The sequence below is a fragment of the Homo sapiens genome, chromosome 9 (genome assembly GCF_000001405.40).
Source record: "Homo sapiens chromosome 9, GRCh38.p14 Primary Assembly".
Taxonomy (NCBI): Eukaryota; Metazoa; Chordata; class Mammalia; order Primates; family Hominidae; genus Homo; species Homo sapiens.
The window spans coordinates 100,199,453-100,218,111 of record NC_000009.12 but is presented as its reverse complement, the minus strand read 5'-3'; the positions used below and the strand labels follow the sequence as shown (position 1 = coordinate 100,218,111).

The window sequence follows — 18,659 nt, the reverse complement described above, 5'->3', positions numbered from 1 at the left end:
ACTCTGTCATAGTTCATTTTAAATCCTAAATATATTATATACCCAAAATACATTACTTAAAATTGAAATGGAAAAATAGAAACATGATTTATTAATTATAATTATAGCTATATAATTATGTATTTATAAACTCTCAAGGCATTTACTGTATTAATTTGTAAAAAGAATTACTATCCCTAGGAAGTATATAGGTCGCAAATATCAGTAATTTCATTATATCAAACTTTTCTGTAGTGGTTGCAGACACAAATGAGTTTTGGAAATACCACAATAGTGTTGGGAGAGGCAATCTGCCCTGGGCCTTGAATGTCCCTGAATGTACTTACTGGGTATGCCAAGAATGCAAAAGCTTGACTCCACTTTACTGGGACCATTTTCCAGAGTGGGGTTTGCAGTGAGCAATCTTGAGTGACGAGGTAATGTCACCCACCAGGGCAAAGAACAAGCAGGCTTGCTTACTACTCTATTTACTAAAAGCTGGAGATTCCCAAAATCTAGCACTCTTCAGATGTCATGCAAACCCACTGTGTGCTGGGCCCATCTGAGTCCTCCATATTGCCCCCATAATCCTTGGAGGGGAGGGAAACTCATGCAAACAGATAAGTACTCCTAGCTCCTAGCTATGCCATTAGTAATGACGCTTTTCGTCTCTGATGGGAGTCTTGTGTCTTCTGCCAGCATCTGCAGCTAACTTATTACCTTGTAAATAGGGTTAATTAAATGCCAGAACTGACAAGACAGTAAAAGATGATAGGATACTGACAGAGACATAGTTTTCCTTTCTTTCTTCCTTTTATTTTTTTGAGACAGAGTCTCACTCTGTCGCCCAGGCTGGAGTGCAGTGGCGCGATCTTGGCTCACTGCAACCTCTGCCTCCCGGGTTCAAGCAATTCTTGTGCCTCAGCCTCCCAAGTAGCTGGGATTATAGGTGTGTGCCCCCATGCCTGGCTAATTTTTATATTTTTGGTAGAGACGGGGTTTCACCATGTTGGCCAGGCTGGTCACAAACTCCTGACCTCAAGTGATCTACTCACCTCGGCCTCTCAACGTTCTGGGATTACAGGCATGAGCCACTGCACCCAGCTGGAGAGACATAGTTTTCTTGAAGAGTAAGGACAAGAACCCTAGAGGCCCATTCTCAGGTATCCTTAGGTTCAAGGGTGAGAAGACCCCCTGAGATCATGCCCAGGTGGTGGGCAAGGTTAAGGGGCGAGTGACCCCAGTATTCTCTCTGTTAATGAGTCTGAATGGTGAGAGGTGGGATTAAAGCAAGCCACCCAAATAGTGCCTTTGTTTTTGCTCACCTTCCTCTGGGCAGGCAAAAGAAGGAATGGTACATGACCACGGGGGCAGCAAGCTGAAAGACCATGTGGTTGCGGCTGCAGGGCCAAGAAATCTCCAAAACAGAAATAAATGGAGAGAACAATGAAGATTTTGCTATTTGACATGGATCTTTAGGTGGATTGAAAACATTAGAAGTTCATTTGGTTGAGACATGAGTGAGCAGGTGCTCAAAAGTGAATGTGAATGCAAAACCTTGCCTAATAGGACAGAGTCAACTGTTCTATGTATCTGATTCCTGCTTTAGCCTGACTTATTTGACATTGAGGACAAAGCACTGGGTATACAGGTGGCCACTGTCTGAAGCAAAGCTGCTGGCTTAATGGTCCCTTAAATGCCTTGGCCTGGTTTGCTGATGCTTTGGCTAAGTTAAAACCCGATGGTGTCCAGTAGGGGGCAGTAGCTGTCCAACCTCAATGACAGCTCCAGGAGACTGAGTGGTAATGACCAGTTAGCCCAATGGGCTGAAATGAAAAGCCATCACCCTTACCTTAGGCAATACTCCCAAAGACTAGCCGTATTTTTACTGATTCTTGGTCTGCTAACAGTACTGTAGTCACCTGGTCTGCCACTTGGAAGACTACAGTTGGTAAATTAAAGATATTCCTGTTTGGGGCCACAAACTACAAACAAATTGTGGCTGCCAATCAGACACTTTGGGTCACTCACATAGATACCCACAGTAACAGTAAGGGCCTGCTCTCTGATAAGACCGACTGAAATCAAGTCGCTGAACAAGTCTGTATTGCCTGGTCACTGGGATTTGCCACTAGGATCCATCACTGCACTAGATAAGGCAATGAACCCACCACAATAGAATGGATACAAAGTAAAAGGTATGTTTTTCATGCAGAAGATACCACTGCATACCAGACTTATGTATCTTGCCCAGTTGGCCTCCTTTTCTTGTGGTGAAGGAGTCCACATTACATGGAGGATTGCCCTTGCCCCTTCCCAGCAGGGACCTCTGTCACCTCCTCTTGGGCTCACCTCGTGCCTTTCCACCATAGACATTTTTCAGGTTATGGTGTTGCTGCTCCACCATATGGAGTTGCTGCTCCAATCTGATTAGCCTATTCAAGCTATAGCACTGAGGACCATGTTTTGGGGTTCCTAGACCTTCTATAGTCTGACCATGATATGCCTAACAATGAGCCAATAGTTAGGTACTTAATGGACATTCCATGCTTCCTACCATCCTCAGGTATCTGGAATTGTTGAGAGCTTGGAAAGGCCTTCTTGAAAATCAACTCAAAAATGTTTCTGGCTCCACCTCTCTTACCTCCTCCTGGTCCACACTCCTGTATGAAGCAGTTTGCTTACTAACTGTGGCCACCTTCAGAAAGGGTTCATTTCATCCTTGTAGCCTCCTGGGAAATAATCAGGACAAAAGGAGTGGGGGATTATATACATCTGTTTTGAAAATTTGGGATTCTGCCTGGCCCAACCCTGGTTATCTTGCTTCTTTCTTTTTCCCAAAAGCAATCTCAGGATGGTTTGTTTCATATATCCCTTGGGTGGCAGCCAGCCAAAAGGGGGCTTAGAGATTCAAGCTTAATTTGGGTTTACCCACCTGGATTCATTTTGTTCAACTGATAAGGTCCCAGATCATAAATATCCATAATGACCATCTGATTGAGTGCCCTGCTCACTGAGTCATTCTATAGTGGTCCATATAGGCCAAAATGGAAGACATAATAGGTTTCTAAATTTGTCCCATATGTACTTACCCTTCTATAAGCTACAGGCACAAGTAGGGGATGATTGGAGAAAAGGCGAAGTTATATCTACTGGAATGGGACACATTAACTATGTGGCCAAAGAAGGAAAGCAACAACTTCAGCCCCTAGGAAGGAAACACATGAGACCTCAGGAAGTACAGGGATGGGGAGGACAATTAATACTTTCTTTGTCCTCTGGATCCGCAAGTGCATCCTGGCAAAACAAATATATAGTGAGCTACCTGAATCAAACAGCAGCTGAGGCCAGCCATCTGACCTGCGTCTGTTTTATCTCTGACCATGTGCTTGCTATGAAACAGAAAAATTCACATGGGCATTGGTGGTTCTTAATTCTTTTGCTGTGCTTGATACCATCAATGACAGCTCCTGAATGTGGACCCCGTTGTATACATGGAAGCAAAGGGACTGGCACAACCTTATTTTAATCTGATGTACACAAATCCATATGCTTCTTCTGACATGTGAGCAGCTTTGGATTATGCCATGCATGGCAACTGAAGTAACAACTACTTAGTGATACTGCCCATGTGGCTTAGACAAATCAATGTAATGGTTGATCCAAGTTTAATGACAAATCCTGAAATAAAGTGACTCTTTATTTCAGCCTCTTTAGGCTACATGTTTGTATGTAGGAAAGAGTAGGCCATGGTGTATTCCACCTTTGAGCTTGGGGGTTGCTTTTTGGCCCCTGTAATCTAGCGCCTCCTGTAACTATCTGCAACGAGGCCAAAGATTAGCATGTCAGTCTAAACTCCCTTGCATGGGTCAAAATAGATAACAGACCAGACTTAGATTACATCCTAGCTGTATAAAGTAAGATCTACTTTCTCCTCTGGGGCTTATTCACAGTTGATTTAGTCCAAGATACTGAGGGACATAGTTGATACCAATATTACAGGATGTTTTTATCCTGCTACTTGGAGTCTTGTTAAGTAAGTGCTGTATGAGACAAATTAAAGCGATGGTCCTAGTCTCTCTTGGTAAGATAAATAAAAGTAGCTGATGTAGTGGCATACTCATGTCAAGACAATGCTGGGCTGAGGGATGGGTTGTTGGAAGAGTCAATCTACCATGGGCCTGAAGCATTCCTAAACGTTCTTACTGGGTATGCCAAGAATGCAAAGTCTTGGCCACTCTTTACTTAGGTAATTTTTCAGGGTTGTGTTTGCAACAAGCAACTGGAGAGATGAGGTAATGTCTTCCTCTGGGCTTACTAAGTGCTTACTATAAAAGTGGTAGATTCCTGAAGTTCGGTGTTCCTCAGTTGTGATGAAAACCCACTGTGTGCAGCCTCTGCAACTTCCACATGTTCTCTGGGGGCAAGGGAAGCATAGACGTGGTGCTCATTCTTTTTGCTGTGTTGTGAGTAGTAAACTACTTTGTCTCTGACTGCGGAGTCTCGTATCTATTGTTAGCATCCATGAAACAGTAACAGACTAACTTCTTAGCTTATATTTAGGGTAAAATCTCATCTCAAACTCCGCAAATAATTCAATATCATTGTAATATGAAATGCATTGTAAGGGCCAGGAATGGTGGCTCATGCCTGTATCCCAGCACTTTGGGAGGCCAAGGTGGGCAGATCACTCGAGCCCAGGAGTTAGAAACCAGCCTGAGCCACATAGTGAGACCCTTTCTCTAATTAAAAAAAAAGAAAAAAGAAAAGAAATGCACTGTAAGAGGAAGTGAAAAGTAAGATCAGAGAGGTGAGCAGGGGTTATAAAATGGATAGTCTAATATGTTATGATAAGGAGCCTAAAGTTGATCATATTGGTAAAAAGGAGTGCTACAGACTGAATATATGTCCCCCCAACCCCCAAACCCCCCCAATTCATGTGTTGAAATTCTAACGCCAATGTCTTGGTATTAGGATATGGGACATTTGGAAGATGATTACATCACGAGGGTGGAGCTCATAAATGGGATTAGTACCCCTAAAAAGAGACCTCAGAGAGCTCTTTCACTCCCTTCTGTCATGTGAGGATACAGCAAGAAGACAGCCATCTATGAACCAGGAAGCAGGCCCTCACCAGACACAGAATCTGCTGGTGCCTTGATCTTGGACTCTCCAGCCTCCAGAACTGTGAGAAATAAATGTCTGTTGTTCCAGCCATCCAGTCTAAAGTATTTTTGTTATAGAAGGCCAAGCAAACTAAGACAGGAAAAAGAGAAGATTTAAGAAGGAAATGACATGACTGGATTTGTGTTTTTAGAAAAGACACTGGAGGTTATGTGAAGCACTGATTTGAGGGGAAAAAATCTTTAGGCAAGCAGAGCAGTAAGGGGGTTATTACAGCAACCCACAATAGAAATGTTGAGAGCTAAATGGAAATAAGGGAAGAGATCAGTGAAATACATAAGAAGATTCCTGAATGGCTACCAGATAGAGGGTGTTACCAACAACTGAAGAGATGGGAGAAAAAAATAGGGTTAGGGATAAAAATTTTTGAGTTCTGTTTTTTTTTTCTAAAGTGGAGTTTGAGGCACCTGAAGGGAATCTATGCAGAGAGGTCTAGCAAAAAGAAAAGGTTGTTGGGGAGGGGCAGATACATATAGACCTGAACATTAGAAGAGATGGCTAGATTCAAGATATAGATTTATGAGGCATCTATATTAATAGTTGTCTCAACTGTTTTCTCAGAAGACATTAATTTTCTGACATAAATCAAAGAATATAAATTGGAAATATGAATCTCTACACCCTTCTTGAAATATAAACATAATATAAATATCCACATAAATGGCTCAGTACAATGCAATCATGAGTTAGCTACCAGTGCCATATAAAATGTAGAGCAGAAATGGATTAGAAAGGAGAATGCCTTCTTGTATGCTTAGATAATTTTCTTATTTCAGTTGATTTAGATGTCTGTTTGTACTCTGGTTGCTTAGTCTTTAAAGTGATTTTATAGGGAAGCAAACAGTTACAGCAATCAACTCATGAAAGACATAAATTCACTGAGCTACAGAAATAAAATGAAATCTGCATTGCTTTTTCCACTGACCGACATTCTTCCTCTTTACTTAAACTTCTGATTGTCAAGGCTTAATTCTGTGTTTTATTGCTAAAATTTCTAAGTACTTAACAAATATGATGAGAACCACATCACTAACCTGCCATCTTAAGCAAATCTTTAAAAATATATTTTTTAGTTATTTGACAATTCTGTAAGCAAAGGCTAAGAATGTGCTCCAAAGACAGAATAGGAGCTTTATTTGCTATTTTCCAAGTTTAAGATGTTCATCCATCTGGCAGAGCAGCTAGACAATACATCAGCCAAGAACATCTCTCTGGCTTGAAATAGTTCTGGCTCTCAAAGAGGATTTGACTGAGGGAAAGGCAACATCTTTAGTTGCTCTAAGGCTGAACTCTTCTAATATTTCCCCCCAATGCCTTCTCCAAGCCTTGGCTCCATCCACTAACTTGGTTTCCATAGGAATAGACAGAGCTATCAAGTGGCACGGAGTCAAACAGCACAAATGAGAGAAGGAGAAAATGTTACTGTCAAAAAAAGGCTTTTCTCTATGAGAGGAAATTATGGAAAGGTATTCTTGACTCTGAGGCTTCCTTATCCAATGCCAGATTTTTCAGGTGCTCTTCCTGACTAATATAGCCTATTTTATTTAGATTATTATGAAAATTAATGCCTTCATTGGAGAGCCTTTTATATATAGGAAACTAACCAAAAATAAATATTGAAAAAAGTTATAAAATGCTGGGATGCTTATTTCCACAAGGATAATTCTGTTGTGCTTGTGAGGTACTCTGATTTATTTAGAGTGGTGCTTTAAATTGGTACAACCTTTTAGGATGATTATAAAGTATATTTGGTTTCTCACAGTTGGTATTTTATTTAAGGACAACATTTTTTTTTTGTCTTAAACTCTAGCAAAAGAAGTTCTCAAACTCTAGCATGCATCAAGATCGTCTGGAGGGCTTGAAAACACATAGGCCCTCCCGCAGAGTTTGTCATTCACTGGTGTAGGGGCCAAGAATCTGCATTTTGTAGCAAGTTTCTGGGAAGTGCTGCTGCTGCTGGTCTAGAATCCTAAACTTTGAGAACCACTGTTGAAACAAAGAACCTAATCTAGGAGTTCTCAATCCTTAGGAGCTTAAAAAAAAAGTCTGTTCCCATCCTAGATCAACAAAATCAGAATTTCTGGGACTTTGGAATTAATATTTCTTAAATTTTCGGTAGGTGATTCAAAAATGCAACCGGGATTGAGAAGCACTGACCTAATTAAACCATTCATTCAACATTCAATGGTTATTTTTGATGTAATTACTCTGTATCAGACTCCATGCTAAGAGTTGGGGAAGCTTTATACAGATGTACGCTTGTATGCAATGCAAAATTATAAGCAAGGAAGGGTAAATGCACAAAAAGGATACAAAAACAGAACACAAAGACAGGATAGATGATGTACTTAAAAGTCATTCCTTGTGACTTCCCCAAGATGTCCTTGTGAAGAGGGGAAGGGGTTAGAACAGAATGACTTCATGAAAGAGATGGCAGTTGAACAGGATCTTAACTTAGGATTACTAACACTTTGACACTCCTCAATGTCTCCATCTTGTTCCTGCTCCCAATTTCTTTGATATGGAGGGCAATAAGTATTTTCTGAATTTTATGTAAAGTGCTATATAAAGACAGCTTCAAATCTTACTCCCACTCCTTCCAATCAATTTGTCCCCATAAGCTCCTCCTATATGCATATTCTGAAGCCAACATTAGTAAGTTGTGTATATCATGTCTCTTGGATCCACTTATTACATGCTCCAATAACCCCCACACTATCCCTCCCTTTGACCGTAATAGAAAGTGAAACCATATGCAATGCTATTCACTGCTGTCATACAATGAGATCAGTTCTATGATAGAGGTAAGGACACACGGTAGTAAGAACTCTGTAGAGGGGCACCTAACCCAGCCTTGAGGGGTCAGTAGAAGCTTATTGGAGAAAACAGTGCCTGAGCTGCATGTTGAAAGTATATGCAATTAAGCCAGCTTAAAGTAGGAAGGAAGCTGAATGTGCGACGGCATTGTGTGTGGAGGATGAAAAAGAGGTGACTAGAATGAAAGCTTTAAAAACACAGTATGTCTGAGGATAGAGTAGAACTGGAGACACAGGACACTGAAGCCCAAAAGATAAGCAAGAACTCGATGACGAAAAGTGCAGGGTCAAGGAGTTTGGGCTTTTCCTTTCAGTCTTCTGAAGCAGTACTGAAGGATTTTTTTTTTTTTTTTTTTTTTTTTTGAGACGGAGTCTCGTTCTGTTGCCCAGGCTGGAGTGCAGTGGCGCGATCTCGGCTCACTGCAAGCTCTGCCTTCCAGGTTCATGCCATTCTTCTGCCTCAGCCTCCTGAGTAGCTGGGACTACAGGCGCCCACCACCACGCCCGGCTAATTTTTTGTATTTTTAGTAGAGACAGGGTTTCACTGTGTTAGCCAGGATGGTCTCGATCTCCTGACCTTGTGATCCTCCCGCCTTGGCCTCCCAAAGTGCTGGGATTACAGGCATGAGCCACTGCACCCGGCCAGTACTGAAGGATTTAAGTAAGGGAGGGACATGAGAGAGGTCTCAGCCAGAACACTCCCACACCCAAAGGCAAATCACTGAATTTTTCCTAGCCTCTGTTTCCTCCCACATGAAAAATAAGGAGGGTGGATTCTGATCTAAAGCCCACCCAGCTTAATGTCCTTTGACTCTATGATTCTAATTCTAAAAGGCAGAAGACCTGCTCCCTATAGCTACTTCAAAACTAAATGTTTTTTATTCTAACTGACTCAACAATGACTTAATTTCTAATAATTTTTATTTTCCTTAACCACAGGGTAACAGTTTTTACATCCATTTCCTTTTTCCCAATACTGCACAAGTAATTCATTTTCCTAGCATATTGATGTTCGCTTTAGGGGATCCAAAAATGCTACTCCATGGGGAGGCAGTACGGTGTAATAAAATGAGAATGGATTTTGGAACCAGTCAGATCTGGGCACTTCATTGGCTATATTATTAATAACTGTGAGCAAGTTACTTCTCAAAGCCTCAGATTTCCCATTGGTAAAAAAGAAAAAAAAGTGACCAGTGCACAGCGAGTACTCAACAAATATTGGTTTCTTTCTCAGATACCATCATTGCTCTCCTCTCATCATAAAAGTAGTATCTGTAAACAAAACAGCTTTCATTTGCTCCTAATGTTCTCATTGTTTGATGTCCATGATAATCTGTGTAGCCTGTTCTTCTTACTGACCCTGACCAGCCTTCTCAGTGACACTGCAAGCAAAGTTATTAAAACATCATATTTTAATATTAAACTCAGAAGCTAAATGCAACAAATTTTGTTTAACTCCTGGTTCCTTTGAAGCACCCCAAGTCTTGTAGGCTCCATCTTTAGTTTTCCAACAATGTACCTTAGTTTTATTGATCCTAGCATGCAGTTTAGAAAAATCAATTCACCTACTCTGCGAAGATGTGTGCCTTTGGGGGACCTGTTTCAAACAACTGATTGAATCCATCTTTTGCCTTCTCTACTTCAGTTCCACACTATGGATGGGATTTCTTAGATGGTGGGAAAAGACAAATATACAGACAAATGTGTAAGTAAATTCGATTATACTAAAAAACCTTTAATGAACCTCATTCAGACCATGCATTAAAGGGTTTAATCAAATGCTGACCATAACTAGTAATCTGACTTAGTAACTATTATCCATTTTCAAAATGGTAGCCTAAATCCTCACAGTGAGTGCTTGAATTCAAAATTGTATCTTCTAGTTTCAAATTTAGCCATCTTTAAAAAATTATATCAAAACATACCTCCATCTGCAAGTCAATCCCTGAACTCTATACTGCTCTTCATCTGTCTGCCACCATTTTAGACCTTTTTATTTGAAACTAAGAGAAGCAACCGAGTTGAGAAAGCATAATGCTACAGCTTGGTGGCTGAAGTGAGGAATAAAGATTTGCAGATTAAAGACTATTTTAGTTGTGTCAATCTGTAGTTTATGCCAGGGTAGATGTCCTGTTTGTTATAGCTATGTTTTAACTGTAATCTAACTATTCTTTCAAGTGCAAGCACACTACAATTCTGAAATCAATATTTTAGTATCTCCCTCAAGCCCTTTGTGGACCAAATGGAAATAAACAAACATAAATTTTAGAAACACATTCAAAAATTAGAAATTTTATGCTTTACATATATTGAAAATTTTGAAAAACTATTAAAAATTGGGAAAACAAAGTAAGAAAAAAGGTTACCAACAATTTTATTACCCTAAGCCTAACACAAGCTCTGCTAGCATTTCTGTGAAAACTCTTCTAATCCTTTTTAGTTTTTTTGTTTAAAAAGAGAGAGGATTTGCATAGTTTTCATCTAAGTATACATCTAACTGTATATCTTAAATAAGCAGTGGTTTTAAAAATAACTTGTGCAGCTGTGCACAGTGGGTCACACCTATAATCCCAGCACTTTGGGAGAATGAGGCAGGTGAATCACCTGAGGTCAGGAGTTTGAGATTAGCCTGGCCAACACGACGAAACCCCATCTCTACTAAAAAAACAAAAATTAGCAGGCATGGTGGTGCACGCCTGTATTCCCAGCTACTTGGGAGGCTGAGTCATGAGAATCGCTTGAATCCAGGAGGCAGCAGTTGCAGTGAGCCAAGATAGTGCCACTGCATTCCAGCCTGGGTGACAGAGTGAGACTCTGCCTGAAAAATAAATAAATAAACAAAAAATAAAAAATGAATGAATAAATAAATAACTCTTTCATGTGGCAGCCATCATCATAACAACCAACTCAGGTGTGAGTGGTCAAACGATGCTAACAATAGAGTGGGTTGGACGGTTCCAGGATATTTATATAGTTTCAAATTAGCTCCCACAAGATACTTATTATTTATAGTTACAATGGAAAAAATAGTGACGTCACAGCAGAGGAACCTGGCAGGAGCTCCTTTATTCAAGTGAATAATCCAAAATTAACACCATTACTGGGACAAATTGATGACACATGCTTCCTGATATGAGGCACTGAGAGGAATACAACATCACTCCTGTGGTATTCTTACCAAAAGTGCATAATCTGAATCTAATTATAAGGAAATATCAGACAAATTAAAAAGGAAGGCTACTGTACAATTTAACTGGCCTGTATACTTACAACATGTGAATATCATGAAGTACACACATACATACACAAAAGACTGAAAAACTGTTGCAGATTAATGAAGACTAAAAAGACATAAATGATTGAATGGAGTGCCTGATCCTGGATTTTTTTTTTTTTAAATAGATGACATTGTTGGGACAATGGGCAAAATCTAAGTAAGATTTTTGGATGAGATAATATTATTTATGTTAACTGCCTGATTGTGATAATTGAGCTGTGGCTATGTAAGAGAATGTCCTTGTTTTTAGAAACTATGCACTGAAATTTAGGGGCAAAGGAGTATCACACCTGCAACTTACTCCAAATGATTCAGAAGGCAATATCTACACATTCCCATATATCAAGGCAAAGTAGAGAGAAGGATAAAGCACACGTGTCAAAATGTGCACATTTGAGGAATTTGAGAGTATATGAAAATTATTTGTACTGTTCTTGAAACTTTTCTGTAAATTTGAGATTATATCAAAACATAAAGTTAGAAAAAAAGAAAAAAAACTTAAAATTTTTGTTATAAAAGTAATAACATGTCCATTAAAGGAATGTCAAAAATAAAGTATAAAGAAGAAAACAGTGATCAGCCTGCACCTCTTAAACCTGAGGTAATCGCAGTTTACATTTTTACATACTCTTTTCCTCTTGTCTACAAGGAGTTGTTTCTTATCCTCAGATTATATTTAAATTTCAAAATGCTCCCTACTCATGCCTTACTTAATATTCACAGTATTCTTGTTGTGAAAACCAGAAGTATTCTCACTACTTAGATGAGGAAATATACATTCAAAAAGATTAAACTATGGGTTTACTTTTAAAAGATTATCTGTTTATATCCTATAATAGAAAAAAAGTCACTAAATAGCTGGTTGAGCATGATTCACAAACTGTCTAAGATCTAGTTTCCTGTAAAATGAGAAGTTAGTAGTAGATGATTTCTAGGATTCCTTCTAACATTAAAATGCTACAATTCTAACATGTTCTATCATCACAATTTTGTTTTGTATAGAGAATTTGTAGTGCCTAGCACAGTGCCTCATTTATAGTAGGCACTACATAAACATTTTTTGAATAAATAAATGCTTTACAAATTGTAAAATGGATAGTTATAGAGATTATCAAGATTGAATACTATATGTGAGTGGTTTGTAAAGTATAATTTATAATTATAATTAATTATAATTATTATTGATGATTTGGAATAGAAAATATAAAACAAATTGCTCATTATTCTAGAGATTAAAGTTAAGACAACAGCTAAAATATGTCACCTTTTTGTAGGAATCTAAGACATTTACTATGAAGTTTATTTCTATATTACTCTTGTTTCAAGTATAATTCACCTTCTTCTCATCAATAACCAATTTAACTGACTGTTTACAGACAGATGGAGAGAGAATGACAAATTAGTACTCCCCAGGTTTGTGGCATGGACATAAAAAGTGAATTTATTTTTCAAATACATTTTATAGCCATAGCCTTGCAAGTAGAAGACATCTTATCTAGTTTACTATTGATCCAAATGACAAGGCTGAGCATCAGATTAAGGATATGTCAGAAACCTGAGAAAGGCTACCAACAGATGCAGCAGGATGGCAGCTTCTTTCAAAATGATCTATTAAGGCTACTGTGTTTACAAAGGCAGTTGAGAAAACAGCACAATATACTAGGTCACCAGCAGAGTGGCCATAAAAACTTCTGATACTAATGTGAACCCCCATACACCAATCATGATACATGTTTATTTTCAGCAATAAAAACTATGCACAGACTTTTGCAGATAAACAAAAGATACGTGACTTTTTTTTCACCCCACATCCCTTTCCTATTGTCACAGTGTCTTCAATGAAAGGAAGCATTCCTAAGAGATGACATCTGTTGTGAGATAATGGGAGATACTATATAATTTAAGCTGACTGTCAACCGGAAAGGTCAAGCGCAATTCAAGAATTTCATTTTAAGATATTTTCTTTGGTGATATTAAAATATGACATAGCTAAGTAGGTAATGACCAAAAAATATCATGCCAAAATGGAGTCCTTAAAAACAGAAATTCTGAGGTATTTCTTATATATATAGTACAATATTTTATATAAAAAAGAAACATTATTTTTGGTATAACATGCTAAGCATACTTAAAAAAAAGTAGCAAAACAACAACAACAACAAAAGAAACCTGTTCAGAGGTGGGAAAATCTTTTTTTTTGTGATCACCTTGGGATTAGCACATCTTTATGGAAGATCCATTACTTTCTAGACTAGAATGAATTGAAGAATTTTGTGAGAATCATGGGAGTAGAAAAAGCTTCAGAAAATTCCCCTTTCAGATGCCTTTGCACATACTTGAACTGTTTTTTCAAAACCCAGAGTGCTCTGAACAATATCAAGAGACCAATATTTGACACTGTTAAAAACTAAAGAGATAGATACCTGTGGTCTAAGTCGATTTAAAACATCAGCCAACTATTCAACTTCTTTAGTTTGCCTTTTAAACCAGCATATGATGCTTTTTTAATAGCAATTATAAAATGTTTTTATCATCAGCTTAAATAGCAGTGAATAGAAGTGAACTGCATTATCCTTATTAAATGCTATAGGTCTAACTTGTCAGGACAGCTGGGTTTTAGTCCTGGCTCTAACTAGTTATCTAAACATAAATATATCATTCAATTTACCAAACAATTATTTAGTACCTTCTTTGTGTAAGGCATTGTTTTTAATTGTGATGAATAAAACAACTTTCTGGGCCTCAGTTTCCTCAATTGTGAAATGAGGAAATTCATTTAAGTTATAAACTAGTATTTTATTTACCAAAGTGTTTTACAGATCACTGTTTCCTTAAATGCTGTTAGTTTATGCTGGAAAAAAAAAGCATTGGGATCAAATGATTATGAGAAATTTTGGACTTAAAAAATTAATGGGTTTCTTCACTGTGCAACTTCTCAGAGCTTCTAGAATGCTTATACATGCTAAATTTTCAAGGAGAAACATGCAGTAGTTCCTACACTTATCTGACCATGGGACCCATTTTTTTACACAACATTACATGTGAATATTACTTTAAGAAAGAAGATTTGGGGCTGGGCGTGCCCAGCACTTTGGGAGGCTGAGGCGGGCGGATCACCTGAGGTCAGGAGTTCGAGACCAATCTGGCCAACATGGTAAAAACCTGTCTCTACTAAAAATACAAAAATTAGCCACGCATGGTGGCGCATGCCTGTAATCCCAGCTACTTGGAAGGCTGAGGCAGGAGAATCGCTTGAACTGGGGAGGCAGAGTTTACAGTGAGCCTAGATCATGCCACTGCACTCCAGCCTAGATGATAGAGTGAGACTCTGTTTCAAAAAAAAAAAAAAAAAAAGGAAGCTTTGGGAAATGCTGCAGTAAATGTTTTTCAAGGTTCATTTTAGCTTTTATAATTTGTATTTCTTTTTATAAGAAACACAGAGCTGTTAAATACCTAGCCTGGATAAAATAAACTTGAGAAAAAAATGTTCACAAAGACAAAGAAAAAGTTACCCGAGACTACAGTTATTAACAACAAGAAGTCGAGCTACTGAGTAATAGGCAATATAAAAGATTGAGAATGAGTAACAGTAAATGGGGCAGGAAAACAAAATTACAGGGTATGTTTGAAGCAAGCATTTAAAAAAAAATCAAGAGTTCTTTCAAGCTACTTTATCAAAAGTAACTGGTATGTGCTTCACAATGGCTCACCAAATACTATAGATGCTAAACATCAAATGTATGTTGGACTTTATGCTTTGTACCTTAGGAGATATAATTTGCTGAGAGCTATGGTGAAATATCTATGTTATTGCCTCCAACATGCCTTGCACTCATCCTCTACAAGCCCATCACATTACTTTCATGCCTACCACTAACTCAAATTCCCTATCACATCCTTAACTCTTTTCTGCCAATGGATAAGAGATATTGCTCTGGTTAGAATCAGGTGGCAGTAAACAGGGCTGTAAAGCTCAAAGCTTCCAAGTGCAGTCATGCACATCTGGGGAGGATTTCTGATAGCCCACAATAAATCTAGTTAGTCTAAGGAGACTAAATTTATGAATGAGACTGCTTAGTAATAGAGCCAAGTTCAAGAATGAGCCTGCTGACCTAATAGTGGAATATTCAGTGGAAAGAACAAAACTTTGGAGGTGCAGCAACTTCTTTAATTCTGAAGGCCCCCAAAATAAGTAAGCAATGTCTATGAATGCTACTGTGTGACATGGAAGGTTAAAGCGATAGACAAGTGATATGCGGAAAGAAAGGAGAGGGAAGAGAGAAAGAAGAAAAGGAAGTGGAAAAGAAAAAGAGATGAAAACATTTAGGATTTGATAGGAAATAAAGAAATTTGTATAACAGGAAACTCTATCATTCTCTTCTGTAATCAGTTTCCTCAATGTTTCTAAAAAATGCCATGGCCATTTCTGCCTTTTAATCTTTGCTCACTCTATTCCCTCTGCCTGAAGTTCTCTCTGGGTTCTCATTCTATGTCAAAAGTTGACCATATCTTTAAGATCCACCTGAAATTTCAATTCCTCCATGTATTAGGCAGGTTCAGTACAGGAAACAGAAGCCATTTAGGTATTTTAGGCAGGAAAGATTTTAATACAGGGAATTATGTACTTATAAAGTAAGTGGAAGGACTCTAGCTAGGCTTAAGGAATGACTCCCTGAATGATGTAAAGTCACCATTGTGACTACAGTATTAAGTTCAGTGCACATCTGCAGATGCATCAGGAAGTCAAAATAAAAAAAAAAAAACTATTGTAATAACTGCTTTTCAACACCCAGTCAGAAGAATAATGGAAACTGAAATGTTCTATAAAAGCACCCCCTAATGACTGTACCCGCCTCTGAATATGAGAAGCACTATGGCCAGACTTGCTTGTATGGGACACTCAGCATACTAACACTGGCTTGTAAGATTATGCCCTCTTTAAGTATATGCGCCCATTCTCCTTATCTTGGGTGTAAGGCCCTTGCAGCTAGAACCATAGTGCATGTCTCTAGTCTCTTACTCTTCTGATTAAACCTAACTCAATTCCTTTGGATAGCTGTTTAAAGTATACATAAATTGCTAATTATAAACAGGTAATGCCTGCTTTTGCAGACTATACCTTTCCAGTTTAGTGTAAAGGAGTGCTAGCCCAACACTTCCAAGGTAATTCTGGCTTCCAGTCTTATATCTTGTTGTGGGATGAAATATTTAAAACCTTTTGTGGAAATTTATGTCTATAATTAGCAAGTGGTTGAGATTCTTTTATCTTTGCAGATGGAAAGGAGAATGATAACTGGGGTTGGGGAGCAGATGGACACATTTCTGATATCTCTGAAATCATTCTCAAAACTTGACCTAAGTGGTTTGCTTTCTCCTTGTACTTGTTTGGAAGCAATTGTCCATCATGTTTCTGCATATCTGGTAATTTGGACTATCTTTTCAAAGACGTCTGCATAACTAGTTGCTTTGGAAGCTAAAAATGGTACCTCCCTTCAGGTTAGAGGACAGATTTGTTTGCTAACCAGGATAATAAAGATAATGTTTCATTTGGTGGCAAAGGATAGGCAGGTTTGCTCACAGCCTTGATGTAAGATTGGAGGTTTTTAAAGTTCAAGTTTCCTCAGGTGTGACACTGACCCTCTGCCTTTGCAGCATCTACGTGGACCTGCCTCCATACCACCCTTATGGGACTTGGGGGCAAGGAGAACCAATGCAGACATGAAGCTCATGCTACCTGCTGTGCCATAAGCAATAAACTGTCTAAATCAATTTGGACTTATGGTCTTTTTAACAGCTGAATCTATGTGGCAAGCCAGCCTAGCAGCTGCAGTAGCTTGACTGCTTGACAGTATTGTCTTTTAGGAAAGTGCTCATTGACTATTTGTTACATGAGTAAATGAGTGAATGAAATCTGGCCGCAGTGTGAAGAATGGTTTAAAGAGGGGAAAGACTTGAATCAGGAAGATTGGTAGGCTACTTCAGTTGGTTAGACATTAGATGTGGTAAATAAGATTAAAATGATGGAATAAAAGAGATGGGTAAAAGAGCCAAAAAGGGGAAGCCCCATATATGCATATAGACTCCCTTAAAATCCTTGGCTGATCCCTGAATTGACAATGTATGGGAGACTCCAAGATGTCTGCAGAAACCCACAAAAGGAAAGTTGAAAAGCTGATCAGAGATTTCAGCTACTACCCAAGGCATAGGGGTAGAATTTGGAGTTTGAGTTCCACTTAGTTAGAGGTCTTAGTACATATTTCAGACTTCCCACTGAAATCTCAGAAGGGCCATGCCTTAAAAGTATAGACTATGTACCAGGACTGTGGACCTGGTCTAATAGATTCAACTAGACTAAGGGAAAAACCGAGACACTCAACAAGTTCAGTGTAATTAGTCAGCTTTAACTTTTACAAAACAAAAAGTCAACATTCTTTAGAGGAAGATAACAGAATCAAGAGTCCCTACAAGGTATCATCCACAATTCTGAGTATGCTATAAAAAATTACTCCATATGCAAACAAACAGAAAAACAGGACTCAATTTCAAGAGAAAAAAACCAAAATAAAGATATCTTAAGATAACCCAGATGTTGGAATTAGCACACAAGGAATTTACAATAGCTTTATAAATATGGTCAAAGACTTAACAGAAAAAGATGGTCATAATTACCAAACAAATGAGGGAATCTCAGCAGAGAAAAATTACATAAAAAGAAACAATTGGAAGTTCCAGAATTGGAAAGTACTATATCTGAAATGTAAAAATCATAGCATGGACTTAATAGTAGACTAAAAAATAGAAGAACAAGCCAATAAATTTCAGTTTAGATCAACAGAAATAATTAAATTTGAAGACAAGGAAAAAATGTTTCAAAAATCAATAGAACCTCAATGACCTGTAGGACAATATAGAAAAGTCTAATGTTATGTGTAATTGGTGTCACAGAAGAAGAGAGAATGGAACAGATAACAGTATTTGAGAAATGATTTAAATTTGGTAAAAATATCAACTTTTATATCCAAGAAACTCAGTGAATCCAAAGCATGGTTAATATAAAGAAAACTACCTCTATGCACATGATAGGGAAACTATTGAAAACCAAAGCTAAAAAAGAAAACACTGAAAGAAGTCAGAAAAACAACCACCACCATTATACACATAGGAACAACAGGGATGATGGTGTACTTCTCATCGGAACCGATGGCTACCAGAAAACAATAAAATGATATAGTTAAGTTTTCTGAGGCATAGTATAATATTCCAATGCGGTAAGTGAAAGATGCATACTGTAAACCCTAAAGCAACCTCTTAAAAATAATACATAGGTATAGGTAAAGAGCCAATTGAAGAACTAAAATGAAAAATTAAAAATTTGATTAATGCAAAAGAGAAAAAGAAAACAG

The 18,659-nt window shown here is 38.1% G+C and overlaps 1 protein-coding gene across 4 annotated transcripts in view, besides 1 other annotated feature; it reads right to left on the bottom strand.

Moving 5' to 3' along the window:
- Nucleotides 1-18,659, bottom strand: part of INVS (inversin) — a 202,933-nt gene that overhangs the window by 84,064 nt on the left and 100,210 nt on the right. Inside the window, exon 4 of one of the 4 annotated variants that reach the window (NM_001318381.2) lies at nt 2,624-2,711. The exons of the other annotated variants lie outside the window; for them this stretch is intronic. The gene's annotated coding sequence lies outside the window, so the exon portion shown is untranslated. The remainder of the gene's footprint in view (nt 1-2,623; nt 2,712-18,659) is intronic. 4 annotated transcript variants of the gene reach the window in all.
- Nucleotides 8,023-8,072: an enhancer, noted in NCBI's record as "active region_28722". NCBI's record gives its function as "activates an Ori minimal core promoter by ATAC-STARR-seq in GM12878 lymphoblastoid cells {active_cell/tissue: GM12878}" and the evidence as "EXISTENCE:reporter gene assay evidence [ECO:0000049][PMID:35858748]".